We start from the raw sequence: 21,149 nt of genomic DNA on the forward strand, positions 1-21,149 counted from the left end.
TTAGAAACAGCACAGGGGTACATGACATATAAGGCACTTTTCCCCATTTGGCTAAGAGTCTGCATCATTTACTTGTGGCTTCAAGGGCTCTCTCTTTGTGTGTGAGTTTGTTTGAAGTAAAACAAACAAAAGCTTAGGGAATGCTTCTTTGCTTTATTTGACCAGCCCCTAGCTGCTTTCTTATATGAATTCAGGTCTCCTTTTCCCATCATGACAAAGCCTCTGACCCTGAACAGAGGCTAGGTGTCTTTCCATCACCTGGCAACAGGAGGTCTGAGAAGGATGAAATAACAATTAAGTAACAGCAAGATCAAGAAAAACGGTGCTTTCAAGGATAGACAACAATCTTCATAAAATGCACTGTAGACTCAAAGTTCTTCAATTTTCCATGAGTCAGATAAGTCGTATCTCCAACTTGTAGGATTCAATAAAAGTTAGGATTCAAATGGAAAGAGAGAAGTGTCTATACAAATTACGTGTAACATATATGCAACTTACTTTGTGATTCCATTTAGATGCCCTAAGAAATGAGGATCACGGTTACCTTGTGGGGATAGTGGGTGGAGAGGAGATTGGGAGGTGGGGGGCTTCCAAGGTATTGATCATCTTGTTTTTCTTGATCTTGCTGTTACTTACACAGATGTATTCTCTTTTTGAAATGTGTTTAATCTGTACATTAATGTATTAATGTATGTAGCCCAGGATTCATCAACCAGCCCTAGGGACATTTTGGATTACATGATTCTTTGTTATGGGCATTTTCCTGTGCATTGTAGGATGTTCAGACATATTCCTGACCTCTACCCACTAGTTGTCAGACGTATCTCTCCTCTCTAGTTATAATAATCAAAAATGTCTCCCAAATTGCTAAATGTCTCCAGGAAACAAAATCTCCTGAGAACCTCTAAAGTAACCTACCATTGTTAAAGACTATAAGTCAGATGTCTAGAGGAAATAATTCTTTAAGATAGGATTATTGCATCATAACAATGAGTAATATTACCAGACTTGGAGAAAATTATGTGGGCTGGCATTACTTGAAATTCACACTGTCTTCAAAATCATTAAAGTTTATTATAATTTGGATACACCATATTTCCCACTGCTTAACTTTCATGTGTAGCTTCTATAAATCAAACACTGCCAACTCAGAAATGCTTTTGACAACTAATTGATGGATTAATCTCAGTTTTGAGCAGAATAATTGGCAAGAAAAGGGAACCCATTATAGGGCTACATTATTTATATAAAAAAGGGGGCTCAGAATTACCTGCAAGACAAATATATGAGACTATTCTCAGTCCTAACAACAAAACCTGACTTTACAAATGGCTGTTGAGGCAGACAGGTAAGTAATTGAAAGGAATGGAAGTTGCCAGGTCTCTAGGCATGAATAACTACTAATGTAAGTTCAGATTTTTCACAACTGATAAAATTAGTAGTATCTGAGTTATTACAGAGACAAGACAAACAAGAAACCATAAGATAAAGTACTGTGGATAAAGAGTCAAACAAAAAGATGTTTAAAAAATGAACATTCACATTCTAGGCAAACACTTTAAAAGGCACCAGATACACAAATACCAGCAAATCCTGATAACTCTTTCTAGCAGGACAAAATGCTTTCTGTTTAAAGGGCATCCAACGTGTTTTTGTTTGGCTTTTGTTTTGGTTTTGGTTTTTTTGCTACGTGTATTTTTTCACAATGACTTATGACTTGAAAAGAAAAATAATGCCATGTGATTCAATGTTTTACCAAGAACTGTTTATCAGTGTTTCATTCTGTGCACTCAGAGCATAAACACTTTCTTTTTTCCTGAAGCCAGATTTGGATCACTCACTTGAGCTGGGCCTGGGGGAGAAACATAGCGTGTATGAGGAGCTGATTAATTACCAGAAATCAAATGCCTTGCAGTCCAGAGCTCTGTGTTGAAAGCAAGCACCAGGACTAGAGGAATGGTGAGATCCACATGCAGGCATGGAGAGACAGTAACACCTCGGGGATTAAGTTTCACTGTGGACTGAAACAAAGGATTTAAGAATGATTGTTTATCCTTGACAATGTCACCTGTGCCAATCTTTTTTTAACAAGAGCTTTCAGCATATGACTTTTAAAGTCAAAGAAATCCTGTTAACCTCAATAGTTTGTCATCTTTAAAAAATCATTGCTTTTCCACCCTTTATATACTCCTTGAAACTTAGGCAGTAACTCATAATTAAAGGTTAGAATATGTCTTATTTCAAGCCTTGTACACATAAATAGAATCTTTTGAGGCTATCTCTCTGGAAGGGCTTCTTATTTAAAGTGGTGCATATGTCTACAAGGGAGATATAAACAGAGACAAAATAATATGAAATGTTGGGAACAATATACTGGCAAGCTCAGAAATCTTGAAAGGTATTAATAATCATAGGTGGGCAAGATCAGCTAGTTGACAGACTTTTCATTTCTTCAAAGAGCATATAAATATGGAACTTCTTCCTTCAATTCACACTGGAGGTTGGTTTCTTTTCCATGCCTCATAGCCATAAAATCCCCATTACCATTGCAGATCCATTTGTATCAGTAGACTAAGGTCAAAGGGCCCAGTATTAAATTCCTCCACAGGCAAGTTTGCTTTAAAAAAAAAAAAAAAATTTGTTGGTGGGGGCCATTTTTTCCCCAGAAATTGCTTGTGCAATTTACCCTTTTCCTCCAAGAGGCACCCAGCGATGGGATCCAGAGCTGTGATGCTGTGGCGCTACTTTACTTGAAGGGCTATGTCTCAGAAATGTGTGTTGTACACTTAGAAGCTGTGGCTCCAGCTTTGCCACTTCAAATCACTGAAACACCTTAGCCCTTCTTTAAAACAGGTAGATTTAAAAAAAAAAAATCAAAGCTATTAATTAAAAAGAACACTAGGCCAAACTCTTATTTTTTTTTTTTATTTTTTATTCAGATGGGGTCTCACTCTGTCACCCAGGCTGGAGTGTAGTGGTGCAATCTCAGCTTACTGTAACCTTCCCCTTTTGGGCTCAAGCAATCCTCCTACCTCAGCTTCTTGAGTAGCTGGGATCACAGGTGTGTGCTACCACACCTGGTTAATTTTTGTACCTTTTTTGTAGAGACAGGATTTCATTATGTTGCCCAGACTGGTCTCGAACTCCAGGGCTCAAGGGATCCACCAGCCTCAGCCTCCCAAAGTGCTGGGATTACAGGCATGAGACACCATGCCCCAAGGCCAAACTCTTTATAAACCACCCAAGTTTGTCTATCCCAGAAAACAAATGGATTGTGAGCTCTAATAGTAAAACATAAAGTTAGTCTTTAGTATTGACTTTCTTCTCAGGTTGCCTCAGAAAGCCATGTGGTTTTATATTAGCAGAGAAAGTGAGACGAGAGTTATTGAGGAAAGGGGAACAAGTCAACTCTGTAACTATAAATATTTTAAGATTAACCAATGGCATTTAGTGGAATTCATGTTTAAAACTAGTTACACCAAGAGAAAATCAACACCAATAGGGGAAAATGTGGGATAGAAAAGTTTAAAATGTTTAAAATTTGTGGAATTTATCTACCCTTGTCCAGTGAGCATTTTGTGCTTTGGAATTACCATCTTCTTTTGGCCCAGGAGGCTAGCATCCTCTGGCTTAGCAGGGCATTGGGCAGAGGTGGGCACGTCAGCCCAGAGGTTACAAATGGAATCACTCTTACTTGGCAAGGCACTTACTGAGATTCCAACTGCCCATGAGCAGAGCAAGGTGGCTGAATAGAGGCCTCCACTGATTATCTTCCCCACAGGGACACCAAATTTTAACAAAAAACTACACACAAAAAGCACCATCATAAGAACCAATAATAAGGTGAGCAATCAAACTACCTGGTTTTAACTTCACATCACTGAAAGAGGAACTGAAGAGGGTAAGAAAGACAGTCTTGAATTGCTGACACCACCCCTCCCCATCCCCCAGCAGTGGCCACATGGCACATAGAATCTGTGCACCTGGGGGAAGGAGAGCACAGCGACGGGCACTTGGCATTGAACTCAGTGCTGCCCTGTCACAGCGGAGAAAAAAGCCATACTGGGCTCAGCTAGCACCAACCCACAGAATGAGCATTAGGACCAGCCCTAGGCAGAGGGAAATCACTCATCCCAGATGTTGGAAATTGAGTTTCTCAGCAAGCCTCACCACCATGGGCTAAAGTGTTCTGGAGTCCCAGGTAAACTTGAGAGGCAGTCTAGGACACAAGGACTATAATTCCCAGGAAAGTCCTAGTGCTAGGTTGGACTTAGAGCCAGTAGACGAGGGTGGCACATGACCTAGGAAGACACAAGCCAGGGCAGCTAAAGGAGAGTTTGTACCATTCCTTCCCCAACCCCAGGCAGCATAGCTGACAGCAATTAAAGTGACTCCTTCCTTCTGCTTGAGAAGAGGAGAGCAAAGAGTAAAGATGACTTTGTCTTGCATTTTAGATACCAGCTCAGCCATAACAGGATGGGGCACTGGGAAGAGTCAGGGGCCCTCATTCCAGGCACTAGCTCTTAAACATTTCTAGACGCACCCTGGACAAGAAGGGAACCTGCTGCCTTGAAGGGAAGGATCCAGTCCTAATAGGATCTATTACCTGCTGACTAAAGAGTGCTTGGGCCCCGAATAATCAACCGTGATACCCAGGTAGTATGTCATGGACCTTGGGTAAGATTCCGAGAAGTGCTGGCTTCACTTGATACCCAGCACATGCCCAGGTGTTGTGGCTATGGTGAAAGATTTCTCCTGTTTGAGAAAAGCAGAGGGAAATGTAAAGGGGATTTTGTATTGCACCTAGGTACAGCTCAGCCACGGTTGGGAAGAGCACCTGGGAGGTTGAGGCTGCAGTGTGCTGGGATCGCACCACTGCACTCCAGCCTAGGTGAGAGAGTGAGACCCTGTCTCAAAAATAAATAAATAATAAATAACTAAAATGCTGAAGTAAAACATCCTTTACCCTAAAATAGTATATTCAGTGAAAATATCCTTCAAGCATAAAGGAGAAATAGTTTTTCAGACAAACAAAACCTAAGGCATTTCATCAACACCAGGTATGTCCTACAAAAAATGTCAACGGGACTTTGTCAATTTGAAAGAAAAGGAGATTAATGAGCAATAAAACAATTTTCTGAAAGCACAAAGCTCACTGGTAATAGTAAGTATACAGAAAAACACAGAATATCATATAACACTGTGTGGTATGTAAACTACTCTTATGTTAAGTAGAAAGACTAAATAATGAACCGATCAAAAATAATAACTACAACTTTTCAAGATATAGACTACAATAAGACATAAAAAGAAACAACAAAAACTTAAAAAGCAAAAAGTTAAAGCATAGAGCTTTTTTAGTTTTCTTTTTGCATATTTGTTTGTTTGTGTGATCAGTGTTAAGTTGTCATCAGTTTAAAATAATAGATTATAAGAGAGTATTTACAAGACTCATGACAACCTGAAATTGAATAATAGATACAAAAAAGCGAAAAATTACCTCATATTACCAGGGAAAATTACTCTCACTAAAAGAAAGATAGGAAGGAAGGAAAGAAGAGAAGACTAGAAAACAAATAACAAAATGGAAAAAGTAAGTTCTTACTTATCAGTAATAATCTAATCAGAAGACATAAATTGACTTAATGGATTTAAAAAACAAGACCCAAGATCTGTTGCAGAAACACAGTTCATCTATAAAGACATACATAGAATGAAAACAAAGGGATGGAAAAAGATATTCCATGCCAACAGAAACCTAAAAAGATCAGGAGTAGCTAAATTTATATCAGACAAAATAAATTTCAAGACAAGAACAGTAAGAAGAGAAAAATAGGTTGTTATATAATGACAAAGGGGTCAATTCAGCAAGATGATATAACAATTGTAAACATATGCACCCAACACTGGTGCATATTATTATTTTAATAATATCATTATTAATAATATCTGGAGATTTTATACCCCATTTTAAACATTGGACAGATCTTCCAGGCAGAAAATTAATGATGAAATATTGAATTCAATTAGCACTATAAAATAAATGGACCTAATAGATATTTACAGAAAATTTAATCCAACAGCTGCAGAATGCACATTCTTCTCTTCAGCACATAGATCACTCTCAAGGAGAGATCATATGTTAGGTAGCAAAACAAGTGTTAAAACATTCCAAAAAAAAATTGAGTTAATATCAACCATCTTCTCTTACCACAATGGAATAAAACCAAAAACCAATAACAGGAAGAATTTCAGAAACTATACAAACCATGGAAATTAAAAAACATGCTCCTAGATGACCATTGGGTCAATGAAAAAATTAAAAAGAAAATTGATAAAATTTTTGAAACAAATGATAATGGAAACATAACATACCAAAACCTATGGGATACAGCAAAAGCAGTGCTAAGAGGGAAATTTAGACCTATTACTGCCTATATCAAAAAAGAAGGAAAACTTAAAAGAAATAACCGAATGATGCATCTTAATGAACTAGTGAAGCAAGAGCAAACCAAACTCAAAATTAGTAGAAGAAAAGAAAATAAAGATTAGAGGAGAAATAATTGAAATTGAAGAAAGAAAAAAATACAAAAGATCAATGAAATGAACAGTTAACTTTTGAGAAAAGATAAATTAAATTGAAAAACCACTAGCCAGAATAAGAAAAAAACAGAAGACCCAAATAAATAAAATCAGAAGTGATAATGGAGACATTATAACTGACACTGCAGAAATTCAAAGGATCATTAGTGTTTACTGTCAGCAACTATATGCCAGTAATCTGAAAAATCTAGAGGAAATGGAGAAACTTCTAGACACAAACAACTTACCAAGACTGAAACATGAAGAAATCCAAAACCTAAGCAGACCAGTAATAAGTAATAAGATCAAAGCCATAATAAAACTCTCCCAGTCAAGAAAAGCCTGGGACCTGGTGGCTTTACTGCTGAAATCTACCACACATTTAAAGAACTAATACCAATCCTACTCAGATTATTTCAAACAATGGAAGGGAGAATATACTTCCAAATTCGTTCTATAAGGCCAGTATTACCCTAATACCAGAATCAGACAAAGACATGTCAAAAAAATAAAAATAAATAAATTACATGCCAAAATCTCTGGTGAATATTGATTCAAAAATCCTCAACTAATTACTAGCAAACCAAATTCAACAACATATTAAAAAGATCCTTCATCATAACCAAGTGAGATTTATCCCAGCAATGTAAGGATGTTTCAACATATGCAAATCAATCAGTGTGATACATCATATCGGCAGAATGAAGAATAAAAATCATATGATATTTTCAATTGATGCTGAAAAAATTATTTGATGAAATTCAGCATTCCTTCATGAAACTGGGTATAAAAGGAACATACTTCAACATAATAAAAGTCATATATGACAGACTCACAGGTAGTATTGTACCAAATGGGGGAAAACTGAAAGCCTTTCCTCTTAGCTCTGGAACACTACAAGTACTTCAATATAGTACTAGAAGTTCTAGCTAGAGCAATCGCACAAGAGAAAGAAATAAAGGGCATCCAAATTGAAAAAGAAGAAGACATATTATCCTTGTTTGCACATAATATAATCTTGTATTTGGAAAAACCTGATGGCTTCAACAAAAAACTATTTGAACCAGCAAACAAATTCAGTAAAGTTGCAGGACACAAAGTCAACATACAATAATCAGTAGCATTTCTTATGCCAACAGTCAACAATCTGAAAAAGAAATCAAAATGTAATCCCATTTACAATAGCCACAAGTAAAATTAAATACCTAGGAATTAACTTGACCGAAGCAGTGAAAAATCTCTATAAGGACAACTGTAAAACACTAATGAAAGAAATTGAAGAGGACATAAAACATTGAAAAGATATTCCATGTTCATTCATTGAATGAGTCAATATTGTTAAAATGTTCATACTACCCAGAGCAACCTACAGATTCAGGGCAATCCCTATCAAAACGTCAGGGACATTCTTCACGGAAACAGGGAAAACAATCCTAAAATGTATATGGAACCACAAAAGACACAGACTAGATAAAGCTATCCTGAGCAAAAAAGAACAAAACTGGAGGAATCGCATTACCTGACTTCAAATTATACTACAGCACTATAGTAACCAAAACAGTATGGTACTGGCATAAAAACAGACTCACAGACCAATGGAACAGACAACCCAGAAACAAATGCATACATCTACAGTGAACTTATTTTCAACACAAGTGCCAAGAACATACACTGGGGAAAAGACAGTCTCTTCAATAAATGGTGCTGAGAAAACTGGATATTCATATGCAGAAGAACAAAAGTAGACCCCATCAATTGCCATATACAAAATCAAATCAAAATAGATTAAAGACTTAAACCTAAGACCTCTAACTATGAAACTACTACAAGAAAACATGTGTGAAATCCTCCAGGACATTATTCTGGGCAAAAAAATTTTTTAAGAATACCCCAAGAGCACAAGCAACCAAAGTAAAAATGGACAAATGGAATCACATCAAGTTAGAAAGCTTCTGCACAGCAAAGGAAACAATCAACAAAGTGATGAGACAACCCACAGAGTGGGAGAAAATACTTGCAAATTACCCATCTGACAAGGGATTTGTAATCAGAATATATAAGGAGTTCCTAACAATTATATAGGAAAAAATCTAATAATCCAATTAAAAATAGGCAAAAGATCTGAATAGACATTGCTCAAAAGAATACGTACAAACAGCAAACAGGCATATGAATAAGTGCTCAACATAATTGATCATCAGAGAAATGCAAATCAAAACTACGAGATACCATCTCACCCCAATTAAATGGCTTATATTCAAAAGACAGGCAATAACAAATGCTGGCAAGGAGGTAGAGAAAAGAGAATGCTTCTACACTGTTGGTGGGAATGTAAATTAGTACAACCACTATAGATAACAGTTTGGAGGTTCCTCAAAAAACTAAAAACAGAGGTAGCTTATGATCCAGCAATCCCACTGCCGGTTATATACCCCAGAAAGGAAAGCAGTATAGCAAAGGAATACCTGCACTCCCATGTTTGTTGCCCCACTGTTCACAATAGCCAAGATTTAGAAGCAATCTAAATGTCCATCAACATATGAATAGATAAAGAAAATGTGATATATATATAGATACATATACACACGCACACACACAATGAAGTACTGTTCAGCCATTAAAAAACAATGAATGCTGCAGAGGATGGATACCCTATTTGTCATGTTGTGGTTATTACTCGTTTCCTGCCTGTATCAAAATGTCTCATGTATCCCATAAATATAAGCATCTACCATGTACCTACAAAAATTAAAAAATAAAATATATTTTTAAAATCCCAACTGTCATCTAGATTGGTAATCCTTTTGTTGCTAATCAGAAAATCATCATTCATCTCTCCTAGGCTTAAGCTTCAGGACTAAGAATATATACAAGTATATGAATTAGAGACACAGCAGATAGAAACTAGTTTGACTAGAAAATAGAAAAAAGCAGAAAATAACCAAGAAAATCCCAAGGGCCTGAAAGTTACAGGATTTTTTTTAAAATTCAGCCTTTTACAAAATTAAATAACATTGGTTTTCAGTACTCATCCACCTGCACCTTTTTCTTTCTTCCATTCCTTTTTATTTTTTCTTGTACTATAGTACTGATTTCAGCCTTGTATTAGTTCTTGCCTATCCTATCCTACCCTCCATTCTACAGTGATTTTAATGAGCCTTTCTCCATTTGTTAAGTGAATATAATGATAAAAAAGGCAAACAGTTTTCGTCCTCAAGTAGCTCATGCCTACACTTCCGATGCCCAATTTTCTATCCCTATTCATTAAATCATCCCACTGTTAAATTATAATTATTCTCCCTATTTGCCTTTTCTACATTTTTTTTCTGATTTTTATCTTATAGATACGGAGTATTTATAGAGTTCTATATATTTATCTATGGTTTTGCAACTCACTGGTAAGTTGAAGGGGTTTGTTGAATATTTTACAAGAAAGTACTGTTTGGGGAAACTTAAAAATTTTTCTTCAAAGCTACTCTACTCACTAGACAAATGATTATGGTTTATGGGTGATACCTAACCCTGGGCTTCTTTGAGTTGATAATATTTTGGAGAAGTATAAGGCATATTTTTTTTACAAAAATTACATTTGATTTTAAAGTGCGTTTTGTAAGTTCCTCTCTTTTGGCAGAAAATTTGCCCTCCTAATTATGTTTACCTTAGGCTAATATTAAAATTGGTTTGCATTCCTTGGCATAAAAACTGCCTCAGGGAGAGGGCACAGAAAGAGGGACTTGACCCAGAAACATGCAGACAAGGGAGATATCTGCCCAGGGGTGCAGATTTAACCTAGATAGTACAGCAAGTGGATAAGCCACAAACACGTAACCAAGAACTTGTCTCTAAAAAGTGAACTAGAAATCTTATTAAAACTTTTCATTCTTGCCAATTTTTCCTATTATTTTATTGTTTATACTTTTTCAGATAAAAATAACAAAAACTATTTCTTATTCTCAACTTTTTTATGTTATCATTTTCTCTTTGCTGCTTTAGAAAAAAAAAAATATTAGTTTTTGGTAATTCCAAAGCAGAAATAATTTAGTTTGCTTTATTTTAGTAGGAATTTTAGTTTTATTCTCTTTTTCTCATTTTGCTTGTGTGTTTTGATTCTAGCCTAGATGCATTTATACATATCTTGGATGGCATATTTTCCTCCTCTCATCATCATTAACTCTCTCTAAAAAGTAATAACAATTGTAATTAAACGGCGCTTTATTCCAATGAGCTTCAAATGACTTCTAGCCATTATGTTAGGTGTGGAAATACTATCTCTGTGAAGTAGGTAGGAGGCAAGTGGCAGTATTCTCATTTCACAAAAGGGAAAGTTATCTCATAGCGAGATTAAATAAATTGCTCAAGGTCACATAGAAAGCTATTGAAAAAGGAAATTACTGTACATTCAAGCTACACAGCACATCTTCAGTTGGAAACTATTTCTTGAGTGTAAGCCATGTTGTATCTTATTAGCAATATACTTCATTGTTAATGGAAGTTTGATAAAGACTTCCATGGAACAGGCTTCCAAATATGTGGAAGTCAATAGTTACATAAAAAGATATACAAAGAAAGAAAATGTATTCTTCCTAGAATTTGAAAGATAATAGCAAGGACTTCATTGAGCTCCTATTATGTGTCAGTTGCTACATTCATAGTGAGATATAACTGTAAAGATTCAGACCCTGCCTCAAAGGACTTAAAATTTTTAAAATATAACTGATTTTTAAAGAGATAATTACATTTATGTATAAGAAAAGAAATAAATAAGGCTGTGTGATCATGCACTAAAAGGGTTCAAAATACCATGCTCTTTGAGTTCCCTGGTATATATTTCAGAGCTTTCTGATTTTCCCCTTATTACCCAGATCACATGGTTCACTAGTCATTGAAGTTACCTCTAACCCCTTTTTTGGGTGGCTACTTTTAATCCTCTAAAATATTATATTAAATGAGAACTAAATGGTAAAGACTGTCCAAATTACATATTTTTATTTAAAAAAGATTTTGTAACTCCTATGTAATATAATGGACATTTTTCATGGTAGATGAATAAGCTTTAGAGTTCAGATCTTTTTGACATCCAGTTTATAGATTTCAAGATGTTTCCACTTGACTGTACTTCTGTCAACATCAAGAATATAGGCTGAGTGTCCTCTCAACAATTATATTTTTATTGTCATATTCTAATACATTTATCACTTAACATAAAGTGAGTATCTTCATCAATCTTAGCAATGTTACTTAAGTCTTTTGAAACATTCTTCGTTTCCCTAGTCACCACCCAACCACAGAGTAGCTTTCAGAAATCACTCACCTACCTCTTCATTGGTACTGCAGCTCACCATTTGGAGACACTGTCCCATATACTTTAGGCACAAGAGTGGGAATATTGCATGTGGAAATCATTAAAGATATTTTAGGCTGGGCATGGTGGCTCCTGCCTATAATCCCAACACTTTGGATGATGGTCAAGATGGGAAAATCACTTGAGCCCAGGAGTTTAAGACCAGCCTGGATAACAAAACAAGACCCCATCTCTATAAAAAAAAAAAGTTTTCAAAAATAGCTGGATGTGGTGGTGCATACTTCTATTCCTAGCTACTTGGGAGGCTGAGCTAAGAGGACTGTGCTGAGTCTAGGAGGTTGAGGCTGCAGTAAGCTATGGTTGTGCCATTTCACTCCAGCCTTGGCAACAGAGAGAGACCCTGTCTCAAATATACATAGTTTAGGTGGCTAGAAAATCAGCACATTCCCAGGGCCTAAAAGACATCAAGCGTTTGAATATAAATCAAAATTTTAAAATATCTCTTCACTCTTCCATTGCTTTATAGTCATATGATTAGGAAGTGTACATTGGTTAGTGTGGATTTGTTTAGGGTTTTTTTCTATTTTTAAACAAATTTTATTGTGTACACTTGAGGTGTACAACTTGATACTAAAGGATACATATAAATAGTAAAATTGTTACTATAGTGAGGCAAATGAACATATCCATCTGCCCACATGGTTATCCATTTTATGGTTTCTTGTTGTAAAGTTAAAATCTAGTCTTTTGTAGGAATCTCAATACAGTCATTGCCTATAGTCCTCATATTGTACATTAGCACTATGTTCATTCTATATATCTTCTACTTTGTATCCTCTTGCCCAAACCAGTGTCCTGGAGAGTATCTCTGATGCTGTCTTGTAGTAGTTTCATAGTCTTAGATTTAAGTCTTTAATCCATACCAATTTGATTTTTGTGTATGGTGGGAGATAAGAGCCTACTTTTGTTCTTCTACATACGAATATCCAGTTTTCTCTGCACCACTTATTGAAGAGACTGTCTTTTCCAGAGTGTACGTTCTCAGCACTTGTGTTGCAAATAAATTCACTGTAGATATATGTATTTATTTCTGGGTTGTCTGCTCCATTGGTCCGTGAGTCTGTTTTTATGCCAGTACCATGCTGTTTTAGTTACTATAGTGCTGTCATATAATTTGAAGTCAGGTAATGCGATTCCTCCAATTTTGTTCTTTTTTCTCAGGATAGCTTTGGCTATTCTGGGTCCTTTGTGGATCCATATACATTTTAGCATTGTTTTTCCTGTTTCTGTAAAGAATGTCATTGGCATTTTGATAGGGATAACAATATTAATTTTTTCAGTGAAAGAATGTGGAGTATCTTTCAAATATTTTGTGTCCTCTTCAGTTTCTTTCATTAGTATTTTATAGTTTTCATTATGGAGATCTTTCACTTCTTTGGCTACGTTAATTCCTAAGTATTTAATTTTACTTGCAGCTACTGTAAATGGGATTATTTTCTTTTCTTTTACTTGTGTGTGTGTGTGTGTGTGTGTCTGTGTGTGTGAGACAGGGTCTCACTTTGTCGCCCAGGCTGAAGTGCAGTGGTGTGTTCTCGGCTCACTGCTGCAACCTCTACCTTCCTGGTTCAAGGGATTCTCCTGCCTCAGCCTCCTGAGTAGCTGAGAGTACAGGCCCACACCACCATACTCAGCTAACTTTTGTATTTTTTGGTAGAGATAGGGTTTCACCATGTTGGCCAGACTGGTCTTGAACTCTTGACCTCAAGTGATCCACACTCCTTAGCCTCCCAACATGCTGGGATTCCAGGCATGGGCTACCACGCCTGGCCTGGGAATACTTTTTTAATTTATTTTTTTAGATTGTTCGCTGTTGGCATATAGAAATGCCGCTGATTATTGTATGTTGATTTTGTGTCCTGCAACTTTACTAAATTTGTTTGCCAATTCAAAAAGTTTTTGTTGAAGTCTTCAGGTTTCTCCAAATATAAGACCATATCATGTGCAAACAAGGATAATTTGTCTTCTTCCTTTCCAATTTGGATGACCTTCATTTCTTTCTCTTGTGCAATTGCTCTAGCTAGGACTTTTAGTACTATGTTGAATAACAGTGGTGAAAGCGGGCATCCTTGTTGCATTCCAGAGCTAAGAGGAAAGGCTTTCAGTTTTTTGGCATTTGGTAAAACACTAACTGTGAGTCTGTCATATATGGCTTTTATTATGTTGAAGTATATTTATTCTACACCCAGTTTTTTGAGGGTTTTTATCATGGAGGGATGCTGAATTTTACGAGATGATTTTTCAGCATCAATTGAAATGATCACATGGTTTTTTCCCTTCATTCTGTTGATATGATGTACCATATTGATTTCTTCTTTAACCCATTGGTTGTTCACAGAAGCATGTTACTGAATTTCCACATATTTGTGAATTTTCTCCAACTCTTCCTGTTATTGATTTTGAGTTTCATAACACTGTGGCCTGAATCGATATGATTTCAATCTTCTTAAATTTATTGACTTGTTTTGTGGCCTAACAGTTGGTTTATCCTGGAGAATGTTCCATATGTACTAGAGAAAAATGTGCATTCTGCTGCTTTGGGATGAAAAATTCTGTATATGTCTGTTTAGGTCAATTTGGTCTAAAGTGCAATACAAGTTCTGTATTTTCTTATTAATTTTTCTGTCTGATTGGTCTTTTAATTGTTGAAAGTAGAGTACTTAATTCCCCTTACTATTATTATATTGCTATCTATTTCTCATGTCCACTAATATTTGCTTTATGTATTTAGGTGCTCCCACGTAGGCTACAGATATATTTACAATTGTTATGTACTCTTGATGAATTGACCCCTTTATCATTAAATAAAACTTTTTTTGTCTCTTCTAACAGTTTTTGACTTAAAGTCTGTTTTATCAGATGTAAGTCGAGCTACCCTGATCTCTTTTGGTTACCAAATGCATGGAATATCTTCTTCTATTCAGCCTGTATCCTTAAAGGTAGGCTGGGTCTCTTATAGTCAGTATATAGTTGAACCTTGTTTTTGTATCCATTCTGTCACTCAGTGTCTTTTAGCTGAAAAATTTAATCCAATTATATTTAAGGTTATTATCAATACATAAGGAGGACTTACTGCTGCCATGTTGTTATTTGTTTTCTGGTTGTTTTGATATTCCTTTGTTCCTTTCTTTTTCTCTTGTTTTCTGCCTTTGTGACTTGATAATATTCTGTAGTGCTAAGCTTTGATACCTTGTTTTATTATTTGTATATCTGCTGTAGTTTTTTGTTTTGTTGCTACCATTTGGCTCACGTAAAACATCTTATACTTATAATCAACTACTTGATGCTGATACCAGCTTAACTTCTGTTCCATACAAAAACTCTAGGCTTTTATTCACCCCTCCCCATTTATGTTTTTGATATCACGATTTACATCTTATAGTGTGTATTCCTTAAAAACTTATTATGACTTTCATCATTTTTGACCATTTAACTTACAAGTCTTCCATACTGGAAGTATGTATGATTTAAACACTGCTATTACAATATTGGAGTATGCTAGATATGACTTTGTATTTACCTCTACCAGTGCATTTTGCACTTTCATATTAATTCAGAGTAATAATTCTTATCCTTTCATTTCTGCTCAAAGAACTCCCTTAAGTAGTTCATGTAAGGTAGACCTAGTGGTGATGAATTCCCTCAGCTTTTTGCTTGTCTCAAAAAGACTTTATTTCTTCTTCATTTCCGAAGAACAGTTTTGCTAAGTATATTATTATTGACTAGCAATATTTTTCTTTCAGCACTTTGAATGTATCATCCCATTCTCTCCTGGTTTGCAAGGTTTCTGCTGAGAAATCTGCTAATAGTCTAATAAGAATTCCCTTATATGTGACCTGACATTTCTCTCTTGCTGATTTAAAATTATTTCTCTGACTTTAACTTTTTACGGTTTGATTATAATGTGCCTTGGAGAATTTTTCTTGGGTTGAATCTCTTTGGGGACCTTTAAACTTCATGGATTTTGATGTCCATATATCTTCCAATACATGGGAATTTTTTCAAAAATTATTTCATTATATATGTTTATGTCCCTTTCAGTGTCTTTTCTCCTTTTGGAACTCCAATAATACAAATATTTGTTTGCTTAATGGTGTCTCATAAGCTGCATAGGTTGTCTTTACTCTTTTTCCTTCTTTTTTTTTCCTCCAACTGAGTCATTTAAAAAGACCTGCCTTTGGGCACAGTAGTTCATGCCTGTAATCTCAGCACTTTGGGAGGCCAAAGCAAGCAGATCACTTGAGGCCAGGAGTTCGAGACCAGCCTGGCCTATATGGTGAAACCCCCTCTCTATTAGAAATAGAAAAATTAGCCATGCGTAGTGGTACATGCCTGTAATCCCAGCTACTCGGGTGCTGAGGCAGGAGAATCACTTGAACCTGGGAGGCAGAGGTTGCAGTGAGCCAAGAGTAAGAAACACTACACTCCAGCCTATGCAATAGAGCAAGATTTAAAAACAAACAAACAAACAAAAAAACCCTGTCTTCAAGTTCACTGATTCTTACTTCTGCTTAATCTGGTCAGCTGTTGAAGCTCTCCATTGCATTTTTTTAGCTTATTGATTGACCTATTCAAATGCAAGATTTCTGTCATATTCTTTTTTATATCTATCTGTTCTCCGAATTTCTCATTTAGATTATAAATTATTTTTCTAATTTCATTGAAATGTCTCTCTGTATTCTCCTATATCACACTGAGTTTCCTTAAGATCATTATTTTCAGTTTTCTTCAGACAATTCATAGATTTCTGTTTCTTTGGGATCAATTACTGGAAAATTATTGTGTTCCTTCAGTGGTGTCATGTTTTCTGACTTTTTCATGTTTTTGTGTGTGTCCCTATATTGATTGCGCATCTGGTGGAGCAGGCACAACTTCGAAACTGTACAGAATAGCTTTTGTAGGGGAAGATTTTCACCTGCAGATGTGACTAAAGCTGCTAGCTGAAGAGGGTACGTGGCCTTTGGTTTGGGAATGAGCACAATGGTATAGTCTCCATGCAGCTTTTTTGGTTGTGACCAATGTCAGCAATAACTGCAGGTGCCTCAGTGGTCTAGACTGTATGAGTTTGTGAAAGTAGTGATGGCAGTATAGGTTATTAGGTTTCTGGTGGCAAGGGATTTAGGGACCCTCCTTTTCTTGTCTTCCCAACATTGAGGAGTCTTATCTGAGAGAATCACTCTAGATGTTGGGTCCGACATGTCCCACCAGCAGCTGCAGCAGTTCTGGGATCCAGGGCACAAGTGCTCAGAGCAGTTGTGGAGTCATGGTCCCGGGCTCAGAGTCTTGCAAAACTACTATAGCACCTGGGACTTGAGGTTCATGTTTACTCTTCATGGCATAATTGGATTCATTTATCCCACAAACCTCTGTTGCTCAACAGCTCAGGCCCAGGGAGCAGGGATTTAGCTGTGGCTCTGACTCTGTGGGCCAGGACACTGGCATGGCTCCAAGAAGGGGTGCTCTGAAAGCTCAGGGCCTGGGGAGCATGGCACATGTCTTAGTTCATTTTGTGTTGCTATAACCTAAAACCACAGACAGTACAAAAATTTATTCTCTCACAGTTCTGGAAGCTGGGAAGTTTAAGATCAAGACACTAGCATCTGATGTGGACCTTCTTACTATGTCCTCTCGTGGCAAAAGACAGAAAGGGAAGAAAGGATGAAGCTGAGTCCTCAGGTGTCAGAAGGGCAGAAAAGAGAGAACCCACTCCCACAAGTTCTTTTTATATCTGTATGAATAATCTAATTATAACCTAAACACCTTCCATTAGACCCTGACCTCTAAACACTGTTGTATCAGGATTTAAGTTTCTACCACATGAATTTAGAGGGGATGCATTTAAACCGTAACAGTGCAGCTGCAATGTAGGACCCAGAATCAACAGGGTATAGCATCAGTTCAGGCCCCGGCAGATAAATTATCATGCAACTGTGACTCTGGCCCTGGGATGATGGGGCAGGGCAGTAGCCCAGGATTTGTGAGGCCTGAACAGCAGCAACAAGAACTCAGGAATGGCAAGCTGCATGTGTGGCTTGCACCTTGGGGGACAGGGAGCCACACAGAGATGACTCTACTTCCCAGGAATGTGAAGCACCTCATCAGCTCAGACTCTGTGCAGGGCTGGTCCAGTTCCAGGAAGGTGAGTAACTTTGACTGATCAGCCTGGAGGGCAGAATGGCTCAGCTCAGCCAAGGCTTTCATTCCCTTTGACATCAGGTGCCACATCTGCTCAGCCCCAGAAAGCACGGCTACACAGGTCAGTTGAGGCTCCAATTCCACAGGAGGTAGTGTGCCATGATGACTTGAGCACCAGGAGTGTGACTATTCTGGTGTACCAGGGGTGTGAGGTAATAGAGGATGAGACACCATGTTGGCTGTGATAACAAGGGGATGACTGTTCCCATGTTCCAAGGTCTAGAGTCTCCCAAGGGACAGAGTGCTGGGTCAACTCAAGCACTAGAGGGCATGACTGCTCTGGTGTGCCAGAAGCCTGAAGTCCCTGGGGGGTGTGACACTGTGTTGGTTTCAGCACCCGGGACACAACTGTTCCAATGTTGTCAAGGCTCAGGACCCCAAGGAGGCAGGTTGCCAATTCAGCTTGAACCCCAGGGGGCAGGGCACATCAGCAAGGAATAGGAAGATGGAACGCTTTGCAGTGCTTGGACCCAGAGAGTAGGGCATAGCCTCAGCATGGCTCAGGGATGGCACACTACCAGGGGGGCATGGTGCCATGGTGACAAAGCCTCAGGGGTGCACCCTTAGAGGTGTAAAATCTACTTTACCCCAGAGCAGGACATGCTCTAGCAATGGTTCCAGCTCCAGGACAGCATCTCAGGCCATAGGTTGATGGGGTATAGCGTAAGCTACTTCTCTGGGGATAGCACAATGTGTGGACTCTCGGGAAGTCCTTCAGCTGGGCTCAGAGCCTGTGAGGACTGCAGAAGTCTCCTATAGTGAAGTATAGTGAGGTGAAGATAGCAAGTGTCCACAGTAGTGATGGAGGCTGCTGGGTTCCTCTTATTTATCTTTTCCCATAGGGAGAAATTTCTCCTAGTTCCAAGCTGATCCCAACTGGGGGAAGGGGTGGCAGAGGCAAAGTGGATTTTTCCCCTTTCCTATACAGCCATCCTGGATTTCTGTGCTCGGCAGGCTTTCTGCTACTCCTTTGCTGTTCCCCTGTGCTCTCCTTTAGTTATTTTGGACAAAATGTTGTTCTCTATTTGTTGTTTGGGGATTTGTGTGTGTGTGTGTGACAGGGAAGATAGGTAGGAACTTCCAGCTTTTGTGTTGCTCTAAAATTAAGAACATTTATCTATGTGCATATTCTGATACATAAGTAAAAATTCACACATTTACAAATATGTATAAAGAGGCAGATTTTCAAGCATGGCTTTTCTTTAAAATCCATGTAACGTCTACTTCACCTTTAGTTAATAAATGAATTCATCACCTGCCTCCACTTTTGCATTTTTTTTTTCAGTTTTGTTCTATAAATCTTTTTATCTATTTTTCTTTTGTTACTCCAAAGTTATACAAATATACTACCTTCTAAATAGATCAAAATTATATTTATTATTTTATTATTGTCATTTTGGAAACAAGGAATATAGCAAAGAGATTTGAAAATTTGCTTTAGAATAAATCAAATGTTCTAAGGTAAACTGCAATGTCCGTATTGACTGCATTCATTAGTCAGTATCAATTTTGGACTCTATTTTGTCTATCCAAACCTAAACTTTGATATTTACAAAAGTTAAGGGTCATATTTGTATGCACTCTTTAGTCTTATTTGTGATCAATAATGTCCTTGCTCCTCAGCTATTCAAAAATGAATGTTTCAGGACACTGGGGACAATGTACCTTGAAGTGAGATTTAACTATATGCCATTGTTCACAGTACCTCCACTGACAAGCGGTAACTTACTTCTCTAAGATGAATACAAAAATATTTAGTCGTAGTAACATAGAATAATTATTTCAACTGTTTTCTCTCCTTGGGGGGAAAAATATACCTAAACTATTATAACCAAACAATCTTCCTTCATTGGGCTTATAAAGTAATTAATTTGGCATGCAAATCTTAAAGAGAGAAAATGGAGATTAGAAAAGAATCCATGATTGTATTTACTAATCATACCCATTTTCACTTTTTTTTTTTTTTTTTTTTTTTTTTTTTTTGAGACGGAGTCTCCCTCTGTGGCCCAGGCGGGAGTGCAGTGGCGCAATCTCGGCTCACTGCAAGCTCCGCCTCCCGGGTTCACGCCATTCTCCTGCCTCAGCCTCCCGAGTAGCTGGGACTACAGGCGCCCACCATCACGCCCGGCTAATTTTTTTTGTATTTTTAGTAGAGACGGGGTTTCACCGTGTTAGCCAGGATGGTCTCGATCTCCTGACCTCGTGATCCGCCCGCCTCGGCCTCCCAAAGTGCTGGGATTACAGGCGTAAGCCACCGCGCCCGGCCTCACATTTTTTAATTATTAAATCTCCCTTAAGAATTTGTTCTCCAATGAAGAGAAACATAAATTATCAACAATTCTAAAAACAGGTTTGTTAAATGTCAAAGTATTCTTACCATTTTTTTCTTAGTTGTTGCTCTTGTAGCTAACTGTTCTCTTATTAAGTACACAGATATGCTGGAAACATAATGAAGGCTGACCTTTCAGTTGTAAGTGCGCCTTAAAAAGATCAGTTCTACAGGGCCTGCCATCCATTTTTTGCATGGTTGTTGAAAAGGTGGCAAAAGTCTTATGCAGAACAAACTTCTTTTTAGGCTTTCTTTTTCATATTGCTTCTTGCATGAAATAGCAAGGCAAAGAAGTGCAGACTTACAAATCTCATTCATTGAGTATGAAGTATACAATATATATTATGCTCTTACCATATGCCTTCACTGTTTTACACACTGTGGATACTATTGTGTCTGGAATTGGTGGGTTCTTGCTCTCACTGACTTCAAGAATGAAGCCGCAGACCCTCGCGGTGAGTGTTACAGCTCTTAAGGTGGCGCGTCTGGAGTCTGTCCCTTCTGATGTTCAGATGTGTTCGGAGTTGCTTCCTTCTGGTGGGTTCGTGGTCTCGCTGGCTCAGGAGTGAAGCTGCAGACTTTCGCGGTGAGTGTTACAGCTCTTAAGGCAGCGCGTCTGGACTTGTTCATTCCTCCCCGTGGGCTCGTGGTCTCGCTGGGCTCAGGAGTGAAGCTGCAGATCTT

The 21,149-nt window shown here is 37.6% G+C and overlaps 1 long non-coding RNA gene across 2 annotated transcripts; it reads right to left on the reverse strand.

Annotated features, from left to right (window-relative positions):
• Window positions 1-1,476: 1,476 nt before the first annotated feature.
• On the reverse strand, window positions 1,477-20,920 carry LOC105378813 (uncharacterized). 2 transcript variants are annotated; one of them, XR_947531.2, is made up of 2 exons: window positions 20,820-20,920; window positions 1,477-2,021 (listed from the first exon to the last, which is right to left on the reverse strand). It is a non-coding gene; the product is annotated as an uncharacterized LOC105378813 (long non-coding RNA). The 2 variants fall into 2 exon arrangements; XR_001738114.1 differs by having other exon boundaries at window positions 20,514-20,920.
• Window positions 20,921-21,149: the final 229 nt, after the last annotated feature.

This window comes from Homo sapiens, chromosome 1, assembly GCF_000001405.40.
Source record: "Homo sapiens chromosome 1, GRCh38.p14 Primary Assembly".
Taxonomy (NCBI): Eukaryota; Metazoa; Chordata; class Mammalia; order Primates; family Hominidae; genus Homo; species Homo sapiens.